Source organism: Homo sapiens, chromosome 4 (assembly GCF_000001405.40).
Source record: "Homo sapiens chromosome 4, GRCh38.p14 Primary Assembly".
NCBI lineage: Eukaryota > Metazoa > Chordata > Mammalia > Primates > Hominidae > Homo > Homo sapiens.
In genome coordinates, this window is record NC_000004.12 from 82,374,382 (window position 1) to 82,395,034 (window position 20,653).

A 20,653-nucleotide genomic window follows, 5' to 3' on the forward strand; every position below is an offset into this window, starting at 1 on the left:
TGCAGCTGCGGCGTTCGGGTGGGGGAGGGGAGGCTCACACCCTGCGGCGGCTTAAGCCTGGATTTACGCACTGGAGGAGGGAATTAGCCCTGAGATGTCAGCCCTGTGCCCCTGGCGCTGTCCACCCGGACGCCCGCGGAGCGCCAGGCGCCGCAGCGGACCGCGCGCGCACTGATTGCCGCAGCTACTCTCCCTGCCGTCGCCGCCCGGGACCGGGTGACATTGAGGTTTTCGTCTATCGCCGCTGGGCCGATAGGGCTTCTTTTTAAGATTTGGCTTTCCAAGTAAGATTTTTGTTTGCCTGCTTTTCTCCTGGAATTTTTTTGTTTTTGGTCGAAGAAGCAGGTAACTTGCATATCTTAAGGAAAACATTGTTTTTGCTTTGCTTTTGTTGTTTAAAGATCCTAAAACGTACCGTGATTCCTTTACGTTACTAATAATTGGAAAGTGTGTTAAATCAAGGGTTCGCTTAATGTTCTTTAGCCTTTGTACATAGAATATATAAATGTCGTGAGTCATCTTTACGAGGTTTATGAGTTTGTGTTCGGGTTTGGCTTTTTTGTTGTGTGTGCGTGGTTTTTTTTTTTCTTTTCTTGTAACACCGTTAGGCGTTTCATTAAGGTGTATAAAAAGTAATTTTATACACCTATTAAAAATTCCCGCTGCCTCGGCTGGAGACTGGATTATTCGGGCTTTGGGATTTGCTGCTTCCAGCAGTATCCTTAGAAGAAAATGAAGCTTCTAGGTACTTCTGTAGTCAACAAATAATTATTTGCCTGTTTAATTAAAGTGTTCGGGCACGGGGGAAACAAAGACGAGTTTGCAGACTCCAGCAAAAATCTTAAGAGTTTAAGTATTTGGGCCGGGCGCGGTGGCTCACGCCTGTAATCCCAGCACTTTGGGAGGCCGAGGCGGGCGGATCACGAGGTCAGGAGTTCGAGACAAGCCTGACCAACATGGTGAAACCCCCGTGTCTACTAAAAATACAAAAATTAGCCGGGCGTGGTGGCCGGTACCTGTAATCTCAGGTACTCAGGAGGCTGAGGCAGGAGAATCGCTTGAACCCGGGAGGTGGAGATTGCAGGGAGTCGAGATCATGCCACTTGCACTCCAGCCTGGGCGACAGAGCGAGACTCCGTCTCAAAAAAAAAAAAAAAAAAAAAGTTTAGGTATTTTCCACTGCAGTTAAACGAATTTGTATTAATTGGACACTATCCAAAAATCTCAAAGGAAGATTATAAGTAAGTTTTATTAATCAAGTTAGTAGAATTTACATTACAGAATAATTAAAACTCAAGAATACAGGTCAAATTCTGAAAACGTCCTAAAAATATAATCTTACCAAACTCCCGTAATAATCAAGTCACATAAAGGTAATACCAAGAATGTTTACCGTAAAGTGGTAGTGACTCCACATTTGTCTCCACCTGCCAGAATATTAGCAAAGGATAAAGTGGATATGGTGCTCAAACCATATATTCCGGGTTAGATACAACTAAGATGATTGACTGAAGGGAAGTCTGTTTAATCTTTTCTGGCTCAAGTGACGGTAATTGTCATTTATTTTGATCTTAAGATATCATTAGACATACCCACCTTTTGGTAATAGTGACTTTTCCAAAAGGTTCATTTTGATTTCACATGTAGCTTAGGAGCTTCTGGAATTCTTAGAATTTATGTCAAAAGTTCCAGACAACCTAGGAATGATTTTAAAGCTAACACCTTTACATGCTTTATGAGGATGTATGATGTCCATATCACTGATAGTCCTTGATATTATGGCCAAGATCTCTACATCCAGGATGTGCTCCTGCATCCACACAATATTCTTCTTGGAACTCACTTAACTTCTGGCAGGCGTGGTGGCTCACGCCTGTAATCCAGCACTTTGAGAGGCCAAGTCGGGAGGATTGCTTGCCTCAAGGAGTTGGCCATCAGCCTGGGCAACGGAGTGAGACCTTGCCTCTACAAAAAGTCAGAAAATTAACCTGGCATGGTGGTTCCTGTTGTTCCAGCTACTCCTGAGGCTGAAGTGGGAGGATCACTTGAACCTGGAAGGTGGAGGCTGCAGTGAGAAAGGCAGAGTGAGACCCTGTCTCAAAAACAAACAAATGTTACTATTTATGTGAAGTCTTCCCAGGCTTCCTGAGGCAGAATTAATGATCCCTTTTCACAGCCCTTTATCTTTACCTCTGTTATTCTTCATTGTTTTCTACTAGACCATGAGTTCTTAGAAAACAGTGTCTTCTATGTATCTCTCCCTCCCTAACACACTCTCACACACACATAAACACAGCAGCAGTATATCCACACTATGTAATTGCCAGTTGAATTATTGAATGACAAAATAATAAGTATGTCCAACTTGTTAGATTAAGGGGCTTTCAAGCAAACTAGGTGTTCTTCCAGGGACTTGAAAGTCTCCTCTCCACACCATCTCATTTCATCTCTGGCATTAAAAAAAAAAAAACTTTTGGCCAGGTGCTGTGGCTCATGCCTATAATCCCAACACTTTGGTAGGCCAAGGAGGGATGATTGCTTGAGCCCAGGAATTTTTTTTTTTTTTTTTTTTTTTTTGAGACAGAGTTTCACTCTGTTGCCCAGGCTGGAGGTGCAATGGCGCGATCTCGGCTCACTCCCGGGTTGACGCCATTCTCCTTCCTGTCTCCCAAGTAGCTGGGACAACAGGCACCTGCCACCACGCCCGGCTAATTTTTTTTGTATTTTTAGTAGAGACGGGGTTTCACTGTGCTAGTCAGGACGGTCTCGATCTCCTGACCTCGTGATCCGCCCGCCTCGGCCTCCCAAAGTGCTGGGATTACAGGTGTGAGCCACCGCGCCCGGCCAAGCCAGGAATTTGAGACCAGCCCCGGCAACATAGCAAAACCTATCTCTACAAAAAATTTAAAAAATCAGTTCCTGCCCACCCAGGGACGCCTTGGGTTGTGTTTAACCCGTTTCTGTTGCCGGGTGCGGTGGCTTACGCCTCTAATCCCAACACTTTGAGAGTCCGAGGTGGGTGGATCACTTGAGGCCGGGAGTTCGAGAGCAGCCTGGGCAATGTGGTGAAACCCCATCTCTACTGAAGATACAAAAATAAGCTGGGCGTGGTGGCGCACGCCTGTAATCCTGGCTACTGGGGAGGCTGAGGCAGGAAAATTACATGAACCCACAAGGCAGAGGTTGCAGTGAGTAGAGACTGCACCACTGTACTCAAGCTGGGTGACAGAGTGAAACTATGTCTCAAAAAAAAAAAAAATTAGCTGGGTGTGGTGGCGTGAGCCTGTGGTTCCAGCTACTCAGGAGGCTGAGGTGGGAAGATTGCTTGAATCAAAAATTCAAGGCTGCAGTGAGCAGTGATGCCACTTCATTCCAGTCTGGACGACAGAGCAAGAGCCTGTTTCAAAAACAACAACAACAACGAAACGCTTCTTCAAATGACCTGGTGATGGATGTATGAAATTTCTTGAGAATGAAATGAAACTTTTTGTTACACATTCATAGGTAACAATTAATTGTTTAAGTGGCTGGAGATGCTGTATTGGACTTGCCCCAAACAGTAGAAGGAAGGAATATCCCCTGTCAATGTACAGACATGAACTATTCCATTGCTTTAGGAGATTCCCAGTGTGTTTCAGATAACACACTAAAATGCTAGATCATCATTGAATTTAGCCTTTGTAAAGCAATTATTCTCTGCAGCAAAAACTAAAGTACTTGTAAAAGGCCAAAAATGAAGTCTGTTTGAGAATTAAACTGGAATCACTTTTACCTAGAACAAGATGCATACACCTAAGCCAAGGAAGTCAGTTTTCATCTGCTAGGTGCAGTCTGCAAATGCAGCAGGAGGTTCCCTTATGTTCAAATTTTTAAAGTATTAATAGGGTATGTATGCCAGTTGGCAACCTGGAATAAACAGTGTGGAAGAAACAGCCAAAGAACCCATTTTTTTATACAAGGTACACATACTTGAGCTGCTTCTACAACCATGTTAAACAGCCTATAACCTATCTGGACCTATTTGCAGAACACCATCAGTGGGATTTAAGCATTTTGTTGGAGAGTTAGTTTGTGATTTTACGTGAAGTGACCAATTGCCCATGCAGTGAACATTCTCTGTCATATTCCTTGGTTATCAGGAAGCTTCACTTTATTCAGAAAATAAAAGCCCTATCAACTTCTGAAAAGTCGGGTTTTACTTCAGCCATAAAGTCTAATACTGTAGAGTCAGTTCTGCTTACTCATGAGGATGTCAATAGTTTCTTTTAGATACAGTTTTTTAAAACGTAGCTCAAAAAAGAATTCAGACAAAGCTGATCACACGCCTGTAGTCCCAGCTACTCAGAAGGCTGAAAGAGGAGATTCCCTTGAACCCAGTAATTCAAGCCCAGCCTGGGCAATACAGTGAGACCCCCATCTCTTTAAAAAAGAAATAATAAGGAAATACACTCCTCTCACTCCAGACCTACATATCAAACTGCCTATTTGACATCCCTACTTGAATGTTCACAGGAATCTCAAGCTTTAGATGTCCAAAACTGAACTCTACTTTCCCTACAAACCTGCTTCTTTGGTCTTCCTCTTCTCAGTAAATGACATCTCCACCCACCCATATATTCCTGCCAAAATCCAGGGAATCATCTTTGATATCCCCCCTCCCTCACCCCCCACATCCAATCAATCACCAACTCCTCCCACCTCCAAGATATATCTTGATTCATCTAAATGCTTCTTAGAACATAAATACTGGGGTAATTTCTAGGTAGTTATTCACTTTCAACCATGCAACACATTAATGGCACATGTACATTTCTAGGACTGGGAAATATAACAGTGATCAAAATAGGCAAGGTCTCTGGTCTCATGGAGCTGACATTCTAGTGGCAGAGACAAACGACAGACAAATAGATATGTAATATAATTTTAGGAAGTGATAGGAAGAAAAAGATAAAATGCTACACATAGGATATGTGCTATAGGACAGTCAGAGAAAACTCTTCAAGGAAATAACTTTTTGAGTAGTGCCCTGAAGAAAGTAAGAGAGAAAACCATATACTTAGCTTAGGGAAGACTTTACAAGGCAAAGGGTACACCTGAGGCAGGAGCGTGATTTGTGCTTACAATGAAAAATGGAGTCCAGTGTGGCTAAAGTGAAGGAAAGCAAGTATAATAGATCATACCTGAGAGGTAGCCAGTAATGAGCTTACTCAGGGTCTTGTAAACTGTGGTTGGCACTCTACTTTTATTATCAAAGTCATGAGAAACCATGGAAGGGTTTTGAGCAGAGGAAGAACATGACCTGACTTTAAGTGGAAGATAATGGATGCTGTGTGGACGGTGGACTGTGGGAGGACATCAGGGAGATGAGTTAAAAGGGCACTGTCAAGAAAAGACTTTTTTTTTTTTTTTGAGACAGGATCTCGCTCTGTTGCCCAGGCTAGAGTACGGTGGCACAATCACAACTAACTGCAGCCTTAACCTCCTGGGCTCAAGTGATCCTCCCACCCTCAGCCTCCCAAGTAGTTGGGACCACAGGTGTGCACCACCACACCTGGCTGATTTTTGTATTTTTTGTACAGGTGGGGTTTCACCATGTTGCCCAACCTGGTCTTGAACTCCTCAGCTCAAGTAATCTGCCTGCCTCGGCCTCCCAAAGTGCTGGGATTACAAGCGTGAGCCACCGCGACAGGCCATGAATTGACTATTTTTTTAGCCTTTCTTGGTTAATTTATTCTGAGAAGATAAATCTACAAAGAGGGTGTTATTTACATGTGGTCATGTGACTTTGCTTATTTTTCCTAGAAGGATATTTTTCTGCAAAGAAAAATCGTGCTCTAATGACAATAAGGGATCATTCAAAATTAAACAAGAAAGACTTGAATTAATATTATTGATAATATTTCCAGTAAAGACTCAGACTAGCGTTTTCATCCAATGCAATATTTTTTCCTTTATTTTCCACCCCTTTCTGAAGTTCTGGAATGAGATTTTGATTAGCTACTGCAGGTGGCGTTTGTCCATAACGTCACAGGATCCTTTGGGTGTCTCTTTGCCAGCCGGAAAGCTCTGCGGTTGGTAGCACCTCTGCTACCATGCCCTCTGGGCTTGTTCCGCCCACGTGGCCCAGCAGGCTGCACTCCACTTGCACTACCAGCCCAGATCTCATGCCTGCCAAGGGTGAGCCATGCACAGAGCAGTGAGGGGTGTGTGAGTGAGTGAGCATGGAGTCTGGCCACTGTGTACAGCCAAGCACGCTGGCTGCTGCAGCAGGGTGAGCAGCTCCAGGCACCAGCACAAGCACTGGCTCCATGCGAGGCTGCGGCTGGACAAGATGTACTGCAGGTGGCTTCCACTGCAGGCACCAGCGTCTGGATGAGGGGAACATAGTGGCGCCTGAAAGTTCAGAGACACCAGGAACCGCAGAACCCCAAAGAGGGTGTTACAGCATGTCACAGCCCCAGCTCGAAACCCTGAGGTCTGGGCTCCCAGAAGGGCCACAGCTCTTTTCTCCTTCTTGTCACCCACAGCTTGGGGAGTTGAGGGGCATGTTTCAGCCCATTTGTGTTAACAGCTCTTTCAGTGCTGCCACTCTGCTCCAGCCTGCGGCTCCTGGACTGGCCCAGCCCCACCACTGCTTCCCATTGTGTGGGGCAGCTGCCCAGTGCCGGCAGAAGACAGGAAGGCTATAGGGTTACAGCTCTGGCTTGGGAAATCCTGAGGTCTGGAACCCCAGAAGGGTTGTCACTCTTCACTCCCACAGTCTGGGAGAGTGTCACTTGCCTGCAGCTCGGTGAGCCAACCAGAAAAGTGTTACAGCCCCTTTAGCTCCCACCCACAGCCACAGCTCCTTTCACTCCCACCATTTGGCAGGTCCCAAGTTCTTGTCCCACTTGCAGGAAGAACGAGGTTATGCGGGCAACTGGAGGGTGAGCAAGGTGGAGAAGAGCTTTATTGGGAGATCAAACAGCTCTCAGTGGAGAGGAGACCTGAAGTGGGTATCTCCTATCCTCAGGGAGGCAGTCCTGACCAGAGTCTGAGTATAGCTGAGTCCAGGGTTTTTATGGGCTCAGCATGGAGTAAGTGCATGCTGACTGGTCCATGGGCAGGAGGAAGTGCATGCTGACTGGTCCATGGGCAGGCCTGGAAAAAGGCGCCTGGCCTATCCAGCCACTTTTAAGGTTCTTTTAGCTGCTAAGTTTATAATTGTCCCACTTAGTTTGCAGGAGTTGCAGTTCAAGAGAATAATTATTGAAAGAATACAGAAGAGTCAGGGTTTTCAGATTAAGGTTCAATTTAGAAATATTGAAAACCTAAGAAAACGTTTAGGAAAGTGTCTCTGTCCTGTGGCTCTTTGGGGCCTTTTCATTTGTTGCAGTGGCTCTCAGTTATTTGATATTTCCTTACTCCATAAGAGCTGCCTCAGAATAATCACTTTCTCATGCCAGGGCTGAGAGTTCTCAGGCTCTCAGACTCAGTACAATTGCTTAAAAGTCACACTTCAAAAATAGTAACACATAATTAGATAGTACCTCTGTAGGAGGGGTTTTTCTGTTTAACTAATTTATATCCTTGATGTTTTGGCTACTGTAGTAGACATTTGCTACTTGGGGCTCCCCAGCATCAGTTTTTCCTTCTCTTAGTAATAAATAGCATAGGAGAAACAAGTGGAGCCAGAGGAGGTAATACAGAACAGCAAGCCAGCTCATCAGAATGAACTCATCACCACTGGTAACATTGTGGCCAGGCACAGCCCCTAAGTCAGCTAGTCACATTTGAAGAACTTCCCTTTGAATTTTTTTTTTTTTTTTTTTTTTTTTTTGGAGAAAGAGTCTTGCTTTCTCACCCAGGATGGAGTGCAGTGGTGCAATTTCAGCTCACTGCAACCTCCGCCTCCTGGGTTCAAGCAATTCTCATGCCTCAGCCTCCTGAGTAGCTGGAATTACAGATGTGGACCACCACACCTGGCTAATTTTTGTATTTTTAGTAGAGGCAGGGTTTTGCCATGTTGGTCAGGCTGGTCTCTAATGCCTGGCCTCAAGTGATCCACCCACCTTGGCCTCCCAAAGTGCTGGGGTTACAGATGTGAACCACTGTGCCCAGCCCCCTTTTATTTTTTCTATTTTATTTTTATTTTCATTTTTATTTTGAGATGGAGTCTCGCTGTGTCACCTAGGCTGGAGTGCTGTGGCCCAATCTCAGATCACTGCAACCTCCGCCTCCCAGGTTCAAGTGATTCTCCTGCCTCAGCCTCCTGAGTAGTTGGGATTACAGGTGACCACCACCACGCCTGGCTAATTTTTGTATTTTTAATAGAGACAGGGTTCCATCATGTTGGCCAGGCTGGTCTCGAACTCCTGACCTAGTGATCTGCTGGTCTTGGCCTCCCAAAGTGCTGGGATTACAGACATGAGCCACCACTCCCAGCCTCCTTTTGATATTTGAGTGAAGAAATACTCTCCTATTGGTCATAAACAGAGCATGTAGCTAAGGGAACCAACTACTGGCAGCCGTTTCACAGCAGAAAGATCCCTATGAAGACAGGAATCAAACAGCAAGGAAGAGTTACTAAGATGTGGTAAACAGGATACCAGGTCATGGTCACATTCTTTGAACAACCAGATCGACTTCTCCCTACAGCTATCTCTGCCTCTAGACTTAGTCACATGATTCAGTAAATTCCCTTTATCATTTAAGCTAGTTTGACTGGCCAGTTTATTTCTCTAAATCAAAGGTATCCTAACTGATTTGTTGGTTGTCAACTTTGCATTATACCACCCACTTGTAATATCTCTGCCTTGAAGAGGAAAAACCAGGAACATTTCCTAGAATCCCCTTCCCGTTATGATCCCAAGTTAGGATATGCCAGTGAGAGGTGCTGTTTTAGTCCCTTTTGCCTGCTGTGACAAAATGACACAGACTGGGTAGCTTATAAACAACAGAAATTTATTTCCCACACTTCTGGAGGCTGGAAAGTCCAAGATCAGGGTATTGGTAGATTCTGTGTCTGGTGAGGGCTCATTTTCTGATTCATCGATGGCACCTTCTCAGGGGTCCTCACATGCGGAATTGATAACGCAGATCTCTGGGATCTCTTTTATAAGGGCACTAATCCCATTCATGAGGGTTCTGCCTTCATAATCTAACCACCTATCAAAGGCCCCATTTCTAGTACCGTTACCTTAGGGGTTAGGATTTCAACATGACCTCTGGGGAGATACATTCAGCCCATAGCAGGTACTCACAATAGAATAAGAAGGCAAAGCAAGGAAGCTTTTATTCTCAGGATGTGGAAGCATCACCCACTTCTCCCAGTAAGTTGTGGCCGTTTTCAATTTCTCAATTTCTCCACCAGCTCCCACTTTGCAGTTGTGTCAGCCAATCACGACAGCTTCCCAGACTTCCGTGCAAGTGCCTGCTTTGAGGCCAAGGTGGCCATAAATGGCAGCTCCTCAGGCTCCTCCACAATCTCTGGTTTCTTATGTTTCTCCATGAGCTCAGCTTTTTCATCAACTCCAATGCTTCAAGCCGAAGTCATTAGTGAATGTTCTACAATCCTTCAGCTGCAGCTCCAGACCTTCACTCCTCCAGCTTCTCCTACATCCATCTAACCCTCAATTCCTACATTAAATCTCTTTATTCCAGAATACTTGCAGTGACTTTGTTTTCTCACTATACCCAGTTATTAGTAAGATAAGTAGTTTCCAGGAAGCTACACTTTAAGGATAAAAATTTTCTGATCCCATGGGATTTAAAGGTTTTAACGACCTCATTGCCAGTGATAATGGCATTGGTGGTCCATGGCATACAGTGGCAAAATAGTTACTACCTTGGATGACCAAGAAGTTGCTGCAATAGGATTATATAATGGAAATAAAGGGTACAAGGATTGTGGAGTGGGTTGACTATTTCAAAGTACACTGGAGAACTTAGAAAAAGAAAAAGATAAGCTCAAGGCCTTAAATTCCTACTTCAAGTCCTGGACAAGGAACCAGAATGTTTCTTATCTGCCTGGGAAAAAAAATCTTGGCCAGGCGTGGTGGCTCATGCCTGTAATCCCAGCACTTTGGGAGGCCAAGTGGGCAGATCATGAGGTCAAGAGATTGAGACCATCCTGACCAACATGGTGAAACCCCGTCTCTACTAAAAATACAAAAATTAGCTGGGCGTGGTGGCACACACCTGTAGTCCCAACTACTCAGGAGGCTGAGGCAGGAGAACCGCTTGAACCCAGGAGGCAGAGGTTGCAGTGAGCTGAGGTCTCGCCACTGCACTCCAGCCTGGGCTACAGAGCAAGACACTGTCTCAAAAAAAAAAAAGAAAGAAAGAAAATCTTGCCTCATGTAGCTACATGGTCAAGATTTTTGAAAATTGAACCCAAATTCTGACCATAAAGATGGCTGAATTATAAAGCAAATGGAATTAACTTGCATGATCTCTTAGGCTAAAGTTAAGGTATTGATCAGGAAACAGTGAAACTTTGGAAATTAGAGTTTAAACAAATTCCAATGAACCAGATGACCTTGAACCTCAAAATTCTGCCAAGCCTTCATTGTGAACATTCTTCCTCTACTGTGATAGACAGAATAATGGCCCCCAAAGATGTCCACATCCAAATCCATAAAGTCTGTGAATATATTTCTTTACATGGCAAGAGGGACATTTCAGATTCTTGATATGGAAAGATTATCCTAGATTATCCAGGTGGACCCAAGGTAATCATAAGGGTCCTTGTAAGAGGGGGACAGGAGGGCCAGGGTCAGATTACAGTTGGAGAGATTGAAGGTGCTGCACCACTGGCTTTGAAGATGAAGGGAGAAGGCCACGTGCCGAGGAATGCAGGTGGCCTCTGGAAGCTGGAAAAGGCAAGGAAAGAAATTCTCCCTAAAAATCTCCAGAATAACACAGCCCTGCTGACACCTTAATTTAGTCCAGTGAGACCTCTAGAACTACAAAATAATAAATGGGTTATTTTAAGCCACTAAATTTGTGGTAACTTGTTACAGCAGCAATAGAAATCTGGTCCATCTACTGCTGTAGAGATTAGTCTTTCCTTGCCTAAAGAACCTATAATGACCATTCCTGAAGTAGTTGCTTTGCAGAGAAACACTGATGCACCTTCAGACCCACACCTATCACCTCTCGTATCATTGCTTCTAGATGAATAACTAGACTTGAGACCAGATTCAAGTCCTTGATGACCCCAACAGAACAAGTGCATTGCATAACATTCTATAATGTTGACCATAGTTGAACACATTCAGAAAGCGATTTGTAAAGACTGCTAAAATATATTTTTTCAATGGGTACACAGTATTTGTTCATATGGACTGGAACATGAGAAGTAGCTTTTGGGTCTGCTGATAGCTTAACTTTATAGCCAACTGGCAGCCTAGGTAACATATAGCTTTATTTGTGGGGGCTGATTTTTTTCCCTTCATATTACACCATGGTTGTAAGATGATGATAATGATCCAGTAGAAAGAGAAAAACTGGTGATGTAGGGGTAGAAATAGGGGAATAATTGCAGAAGCCAAGTTCTTAAGTAGCTGAGAGGAGATGGAATCCAGCACACAAGGTGAAGCAGAGACAGTTCATGTGTTCTATAGGAAGGGAGGAAGCTTATGTGAACTGATGTAACTCAGTTAGTAGGTTTGGTGTTAAACATGATCAGTTCTGATTCCTTTCACTTTTCTCAGTCAGTTAAGAAATCTGTCATCAGCTGAGAGTGTGGACAAGGGAGGAGATTTAAGGGTATTAGAGAAAGACGAAGAGCAAATTCACTAGCTCCAGGGAATTTAAGGCTAATAAAGATGACAGAAAAAAGATAGGACCCACATAGAGCCTTGGTGAGTACTTGCCAAGACCAGCTCGGTCAGGGAGACCCTAACCGAGTGGCGCTAGAGGAATTAAAGACACACACACGGAAATATAGAGGTGTGAAGTGGGAAATCAGGGGTCTCACAGCCCTCAGAGCCCTGAACAGAGATTTACCCATGTATTTATTAACAACAAACCAGTCATTAGCATTGTTTCTGTAGATATTAAATTAACTAAAAGTATTCCGTATGGGAAACGAAGGGATGGGCCGAATTAAAGGAATAGGTTGGGCTAGTTAACTGCAGCAGGAGCATGTCCTTAAGGCACAGATTGCTCATGCTATTGTTTGTAGTTTAAGAACGCCTTTAAGCGGTTTTCCACCCTGGGCGGGCCAGGTGTTCCTTGCCCTCATTCCCCTAAACCCACAACCTTCCAGCGTGGGCGTTAGGGCCATTATGAACATGTTACAGTGCTGCAGAGATTTTGTTTATGGCCAGTTTTGGGGCCAGTTTATGGCCAGATTTTGGGGGGCTTGCTCCCAACAAGTACTATTAGAAATCTACCTCTAAGATCTGAGAGCCACTCCCTCCAGAAATCTCTGGCAGGATATCATTGATGTATCTTTTTAGATTCTGGTCATTTAAGCAGTTACAATCTATCTTATGATCTCTTCAACCCACTCTTATTTCTCCACCTTGATCCTGAGGACTCCTGAGAAACCCAGAAAGTTAATTATCTTTTGAATTGTGTGCCAAAGCATGACTCCCTTCTCTGAACTCTTCTCCTAACCAGATGTGGTCGCTAGCAGCCAATTTTACATGACCCCACCCCCACCTCCCTTGCCATTGCCAAGTCCAGCGGTGGACACCTGACCCAAACTGGTCAATTGGATATTTTTTTTTTTTTTTTTGAGATGGAGTCTCACTCTGTCGCCAGGCTGGATTACAGGCACATGCCACTATGCCCAGCTAATTTTTGGGGTTTTTTTGTTTTTTGTTTTTTGTTTTTTGTTTTTTGAGATGGAGTCTAGCTCTGTCGCCCAGGCTGGCGAGTGCAGTGGCACAATCCCGGCTCACAGCAAGCTCTGCCTCCCAGGTTCACGCCATTATCCTGCCTCAGCCTCGCAAGTAGCTGGGACTACAGGCGCCCGCCACCATGCCTGGCTAATTTTTTGTATTTTTAGTAGAGACGGGGGTTTCACCATGTTAACCAGGATGGTCTCGATCTCCTGACCTTGTGGTCCACCCGCCTCGGCCTCCCAAAGTGCTGGGATTACAGGCGTGAGCCACCGCACCCTGCCGATCAATTGGATTTTATGTTCTGGAATGGAAATTGGGATACTGGGTCTCTAAACAGTTGGCCAGAGGTGCTGGAGGTAGGAAGAAATTATATTATAGGACTGAGCAGCATTTTTCCACCATGTGAATTAAAGAAGCTGAGAACAGGCCAGGCGCAGTGGCTCACGCCTGTAATCCCAGCACTTTGGGAGGCCGAGGCAGGTGGATCACGAGGTCAGAAAATCAAGACCATCCTGGACAACATGGTGAAACCCGGTCTGTACTAAAAATACGAAAATTAGCTGGGCGTGCTGTCACGTGCCTCTAATCCCAGCTACTGGGGAGGGTGAGGCAGGAGAATCGCTTGAACCCGGGAGGCAGAGTGCAGTGAGCCGGGATCACGTCACTGCACTCCAGCCTGGCAACATAACCAGACTCTGTCTCAAAAAAAAAAAAAAAAGAAAGAAAGAAAAAGAAAAAAAAAAGAAATAAAAAGGAAAAACACAAATCACTCATAAGGTCATAAGACTACCTTCTGAATATAACTACTCTGAGCAGTTTTATGTATTTCACACCAGTTTTTTCCTTATGTGTTTGGTTTAAACAATGAAATTAGAGTACAAAATACAATTGCATATCCTGCTTTTCTCGTTAGATATTATGCCATACATATTTCCTATATTCCTTGCTGCATAGTCTTCATAGCTAAAATTATAATGGATGCCTAAAATTCTATTGAATATGGTATAAAAATAACACTGTGGTGATTATCTAGCACTCACCAGCTTGAAATTCCAAACTTAGAGAATATGGCTATTTTTGTCACTAGAGAAGGCCTCTTTGGTAGAATTAGAAATAGTTAATCAGACTACCATTTCATGCCTCCCTCAAGATTAATGTTCATCATCTTTTCCTTTTTTTGTGGATTAATCACTCTTTGATAAACAATTCAGCCTCCTAGTTACCCTCATGCAAGGAAAGCATCACTTTTTATGGCAGTTATAAAGGTCAGGCCATGGGAAAGAAAGGCTTCTCTTGTCCTTACAATTGTACATTACTAAATAAATGAATTAGTGTTTTGGATTTTGCAGTGGTGCCTTGTGAGTTTGATTGTGTGGTAGCACAATCTGAGAACTAGACTTTGGTCTGTGGTAGGCGTACTAAGATGCCACCCTGTGGCCCTTCTGGGGAGGCTGGCCAGCCCCTTTCATTCCAATCTCTGTCTTCTGAGCTTTGTCCTTGCTGACTATGGAAGACCTCCAAACTGAAACTGACAGAAGACAGCCAAACAATTGCAGATTAATTTGCAGAATGTAGCAGAGAAGAGGATACAGTAACCTCATCTGTATTCAGAGCTTCAAATACTGTCTCATACTGATAACTTTTAAGGTGTCGGATTTCTGCTCATTGTTATTCTCTGTCATTTCAGGTGTCTTCTATCACATACAGACTTGGCATTATCCTGATTTTCCTCCTTTCCTTCCTTCAACATTTTACTTAAAGCCCTCTTGATCAGTTTGGCATGTTTCTGGGAAAATGTGTTTTCCCATAGTCCTTTAGGGATTCACTCTGCCCCTAGCCAAGATTATCCAAAGATGTGATTCAGGAAACCAAACTCTATGCAGCTGTACATCTACATACCATACCCTTCTTCTTCCCTCCCATTGCCAATCTTCTACTGAAAACCCTGTTGAGAATGCTGTTTGTATTTCCAAGTACTTCATATTCTGGCCCAGCACCTCAAAATATTTAATATACATTCTAGGTTTCTTCCCTCAAAATTGGCCGGGCGCAGTGTCTCACACCTGTAATCCCAGCACTTTGGGAGGCCAAGGCAGGTGGATCACAAGGTCATGAGATCGAGACCATCCTGGCTAACACGGTGAAACCCTGTCTCTACTAAAAATAGAAAAAATTAGCCGGGCGAGGTGGCGGGTGCCTGTAGTCCCAGCTACTTGGGAGGCTGAGGCAGGAGAATGGCTTGAACCTGGGAGGCGGAGCTTGCTGTGAGCCGGGATTGTGCCACTGTACTCCAGCCTGGGCAAGAGAGCAAGACTCTGTCTCAAAAAAAAAAAAAAAAAAAAAATCGGTGAAAGCAGATAGTGTCCACCACATTTGATAAGACTGTAGACCAGGGGTCCCCAACTCCTGGGCCACAAACTGGTACTGGTCCACGCCTGTTAGGAATCGGGCTGCACAGGAGGAGGTGAGCGGCAGGTGAATGAGAATTACAGTCTGAGCTCCACCTCCTGTCAGATCAGCTGTGGCATTAGATGCTCACAGGAGCACGAACCCTACTGTGAACTGCTCATGTGAAGGATGTAGGTTGTGCACTGCTTATAGGAATTGAATGCCTGATGATCTGAGGTGGAGCTGAGGTGGTGACACTAGCGCTGGAGAGTGGCTGCAAATACAGATTAACATTAGCAGAGAGGTTTGACGGCAGAGACCATAATAAATTAGTTGTTTGCAGACTCATATCAAAACCTTATCAGCAAGTGACAATTAAGCTTCATCTAGTGGCAAGCTTTAAAGTGGCAGATGAGTCGATGTACTTCAATTGTACAGCTGCATCTGGTGGCAGGCTTTAAGTCAGAATCTGACGTTTATTTTAGTCCATGTGTGGCCTGCCCTTTATTTGATTTACCACTTCTGTCTTTGCCTCTTTCCATCACTGTGCACTTGTCTCAGTCACAGTTTTGCTAAGCCCACAAGCTAGCCCTAGCCAAAATGAGAAAAAGCAAATGTCACTGGAGAGCTTCTTTTATTTTTATTTATTTATTTATTTATTTATTTATTTATTTATTTGAGATGGAGTCTCGCTGTGTCGCCCAGGCTGGAGTGCAGCGGCGCCATCTCGGCTCACTGCAACAAGCGATTCTCCTGCCTCAGCCTCCTGAGTAGCCAGGATTACAGGTGTGCGCCACCACACCTGGCTACTTTTTGTATTTTTAGTAGAGACGGGGTTTCACCATATTGGTCAGGCTGGTCTCAAACTCCAGACCTCGTGATCCACCCGCCTCAGCCTCCCAAAGTGCTGGGATTACAGGCATGAGCCGCCACACCCGGCCAAGAGCTTCCTTAAAAAGGGGAAAGACCCAATAATGAGACAGCAGAAGACTGCCAACAAAAAGAAAGGTGCATTTAAAAGAAAATGCCAAGAGTCCTACTTAAATTACAGGTTCATTGCAACAGGCGATTCACATTCTCCAAGCCTGCCTTGTATAATATGTGGCAACCGGCTATCCAGCAAAGCCATGAAACCTTCAAAACTTCTTTGCCACATGGAGACCAAGCACCCTGCACTAAAAGACAAGCCTTTGGATTTTTTTTTTTTTTTTTTTGAGAGGGAGTCTCCCTCTGTCACCCAGGCTGGAGTGCATTGGCACAATCTCGGCTCACTGTAACATCCGCCTCTCGTGGTCAAGTGATTCTCCTCCTCAGCCTCCCGAGTAACTGGGATTACAGGCACACGCCACCACGCCCAGCTAATTTTTGTATTTTTAGTAGAGACGGGGTTTCACCATGTTGGCCAGGCTGGTCTCGAACTCCTGACCTCAGGTGATCCACCCACCTTGGCTTCCCAAAGTGCTGGGATTACAGGCATGAGCCACCGCGCCCGGCCAGCCTTTGGCATTTTTTCAAAAGAAAAAAACAGGCCTGGTGCGGTGGCTCATGCCTGTAATTCCAGCACTTTGGGAGGCTGAGGCAGGTGGATCATCTGAGGTCAGGAGTTCAAGACCAGCCTGGCCAACATGGCGAAACCCTGTCTCTACTAAAAAATACAAAAATTAGCCAGGTGTGGTGGTGGGCGCCTGTAATCCCAGCTTCTTAGGAGGCTGAGGCAGGGAGAATTGCCTGAACCCGGGAGGCTGAGGTTGCAGTGAGCTAAGATCATGCCACTGCACTCCAGCCTGGGCAACAGAGCGAGACTCCATCTCAGAAAAAAAAAAAAAGAAAAAAAGTGAACACAAAGAACAAAAGCAATTATTGAAGGCCACCACTTCATCAAATGTGTCTGCACTGAGAGCATCATTCTTAGTGGCTAACCACATTGCAAAAGCTAAGAAGCCCTTTGCTATTGGTGAAGAGTTGATCCTGCCTCCTGCTAAAGACATTTGCCGTTAGTTTTTAGGAGAGGCTGCAGAGGCACTAGATGAATTGATGAAATAGCAGAGGATATTGAGGCACGATTGTCAAGATTAGTGAGTCACCATGGTATGCCATCCAGATTGATGAGTCTACTGATATTGACAACAAGGCAACAATGCTTGTTTTTGTGTGATATTTTTTCAGGAGGATGTGCATGAGAATATGTTATATGCACTTTTGTTGCCAACCAACACCACAGCTGCAGAACTATTCAAGTCTTTGAATAATTACATATCAGGAAAACTGAATTGGTCATCTTGTGTTGGTATATGCATGGACTGAGCGGCTGCCATGACTGGAGAGCTTTCTGGTTTCACTACTTGGGTGAAAGAGATCACCTTTTTTTTTTTTTTTTTTTTTTTGAGATGGAGTTTCACTGTTGTTGCCCAAGCTGGAGTGCAATGGCCTGACCTCGGCTCACTGCAACCTCTGCCTCCCAGATTCAAGCGATTCTCCTGCCTTAGCCTCCCTAGTAGCTGGGATTACAGGCATGCACCACCATGCCCTGCTAATTTCGTATTTTTAGTAGAGATGAGGTTTCTCCATGTTGGTCAGGATGATCTCGAACTCCCGACCTCAGGTGATCCACCCGCCTTGGCCTCCCAAAGTGCTGGGAATTCAGGCATTAGCCACCGTCCCCAGCCATGAGGTCACTTCTGAATATGAGTCTACACACTGTGTCATCCATAGAGAAATGCTGGCTAGCCAAAAAATGTCACCTGAACTTAACAACGTTTTGCAGGATGTGATTAAAATTATCAGCCACATTAAAGTACATGCCCTTAACTCATCTGTTCATGCAGGTCTGCAAGGAGACGGATGCAGAGCACACACGTCTTCTCTTATACACAGAGGTGAGATGGATTTCTAAAGGTAGCTCACTGGCCAGAGTTTTTGGGTTACAAGAGCTGCTCCAGGTATTTCTTTTAGAAAAACGATCACCACTGGCAGCACATTTCAGTGACACAGAATGGGTCACAAAACTTGTTTACTTGTGTGACATATCAACCTGGTCAACAAACTCAATCTGTCACTTCAGGGGAAAACGACAACTTTGTTCAAGTCAGCAGATAAGGTGGCTGCATTCAAAACCAAACTGGAATTATGGGGCCGACAAGTGAACATTGGGATTTCTGACACGTTTCAAACATTAGCAGAGATTTTGAAAGAGGCTGAGCCAGGGCCTTCTTTCTCCCAGCTGGTGCGTAATCACCTCTCTCAGCTTTCAAAAGAGTTTGAGGCCAGGCGCGGTGGCTCACACCTGTAATCCCAGAACTTTCAGAGGCTGAGGCAGGCAGATCACCTGAGTTCAGGAGTTCGAGACCAGCCTGGCCAACATTGTGAAATCCTATCTCTACTAAAAATACAAAAATTAGCTGGGTGTGTTGGTGCGTGCCTGTAGGCCTAGCTACTCAGGAGGCTGAGGCAGGAGAATCACTTGAACCTAGGAGGCAGAGATTGCAATGAGCTGAGATTGCACCACTGTACTCCAGCCTGGGCGATTTCCACTTCTTGGCTATTATGAATAATGCTACTATGAACATTCATGTACAGGTTTTTGTGTAGACTTTCATTTTTCTTGTAGCTCTGTGAGGAGATGGATGCAGAGCATCCATGTATAATAATTTGGCCTCGTCCCTGGTTCCTGGGGAGAGACTCTAAATCCTTGTAATATCTGAAGTAATAGGAGTATCTTTGTTTTTCATGAGACTCTCAGATCACACCTGAGTTTACACTAATGAGGTGATGGAGCAAGATTCTGTCTCAAACATAAACAAACAAACAAAAAGGAAAAAAAAAACAGTATGTTTGAGTCAACTTCAAATCTCCATATGTTCTGGATTAAAGTCAAGGTGGATTATCCTGAGATTGCCACAAAAGTACTGGAAAGCCTGCTTCCATTTCCAGCGTCCTATCTTTGTGAAGCAGGGTTTTCTGCAGTGACAGCAACCAGAACGAGATTACGGAGTAGACTGGACATAAGCAACACACTTCGGGTGTCACTGTCCCTGGTGCCAAAAAGGTTGGGGATCGCTGCTGTAGACCATAGATCACTTTCCAGCTAAAGGCTCAGGAAGATGGCATACCTCCCTGTGGGCTACAGCAGAGACCAAGGCTGCCTTCATGCTCTTCCTCAGGAAGTTGCCAACATCACTACATCATTCAGTTCACAAACAGTTCATTGTGACCTCTTGTGTGTTGCAAACAGCATGATAGGCCTAGCACATAGTATAGCCCATCTCTTCTTCCTGGGTTTAAGTCAGTCTCCTTCTACTGTCTACCACTGTGTTATATTATTTTGTACTATATATATTTTTTTTGAGACAGAATCTTGCTATGTTGCCCAGGCTTGTCTTGTACTCTTGGGCTCAAGGGGTCCTCCTGCTTTAGGTCCCCAGTAGCTGAGATAAGAGGACCATACCCAGTTTATGTATTCTCATTTTTACTTTAAAAGTATTTTATTTATTTTATTTTATTTTTGAGACAGGGCCACTCCTATCATCCAGGCTGGAGTGAAGTGGCTTAATCACGTTTTACTGCAGCCTCAACTTCCCAGGTTCAGGAAACTCTCCCACCTCAGCCTCCTGAGTAGCTGGGGCTACAGGTGTGTGCCACCATGCCAGGATAATTTTTGTAGAAGCAGAGTCCCACTCTGTGGCCCAGGTTGGTCTTGAATTCCCAGGCTCAAGCAATCTTCCCACCTTGGCCTCCCAAAGTGTTGGGATTATAGGTGTCAGCCACCACACCAGACCTAAAATAATTTTAAAACACACAAGTACTATATGAATACAATTTAATTCTAAAAATCCAGACACACAGAAATATATACAGTAACAAAAGAGAGTCCTCTACACTCCACCCCCAAGCACTTTCACTCTGAAAATAGGCATATAAAGTTTAGAGTGTTACCACCATTCCTGAATTCTGCCACCAAGATCTTCTGGTCAGCTTTCTCTGTTTCTCTGTTTCTCTGTTTCTCTCTCTCTCTTTCTCTCTCTCTTTCCCTCTCTCTTTCCAATCTCTCTCTCTTTAAGAGACAGAGTCTCACTCCATAGGCTCAGCTGGAGTGTAGTAGCGCAATCATGGTTCACTGTAGTCTACATTTCTGACCACCTTCACTTCTGACCTACCGGCTATAAGTTTGGAAGCTCCCACATCCCCTTAAGGTCTGATAATTCACTAGAATGACACAGAACTCAGGAAAGCTCTATATTTGTGATTACGATTTTATTATAAAGGATACGTATCAGAACCAGCCAAATGAAGAGACACATGGGGAGAGGTCGGGGAGGGTCCCAAACACAGAGCTGCTGTGCTGTCTCTGGATGTGTCACCTTCTTGACACACTGACGTGTTCATAAACCAGGAAGCTCCACTGAGGTTCAGTATTCAGTATTGGTGTTCCA

At 44.6% G+C, this 20,653-nt stretch overlaps 1 long non-coding RNA gene across 2 annotated transcripts, besides 1 other annotated feature; it reads left to right on the forward strand.

Annotated features, from left to right (window-relative positions):
- Positions 187 to 9,644, forward strand: HNRNPD-DT (HNRNPD divergent transcript). 2 transcript variants are annotated; one of them, NR_183812.1, is made up of 2 exons: positions 187 to 345; positions 9,353 to 9,644. It is a non-coding gene; the product is annotated as an HNRNPD divergent transcript (long non-coding RNA). The 2 variants fall into 2 exon arrangements; NR_183813.1 differs by having other exon boundaries at positions 187 to 284.
- Positions 5,865 to 6,438: an enhancer, noted in NCBI's record as "H3K27ac-H3K4me1 hESC enhancer chr4:83301399-83301972 (GRCh37/hg19 assembly coordinates)". NCBI's record gives its function as "activates a minimal SCP1, AML or CMV promoter by ChIP-STARR-seq in naive and primed H9 embryonic stem cells {active_cell/tissue: H9 hESC(naive and primed)}" and the evidence as "EXISTENCE:reporter gene assay evidence [ECO:0000049][PMID:30033119]".
- Positions 9,645 to 20,653: the final 11,009 nt, after the last annotated feature.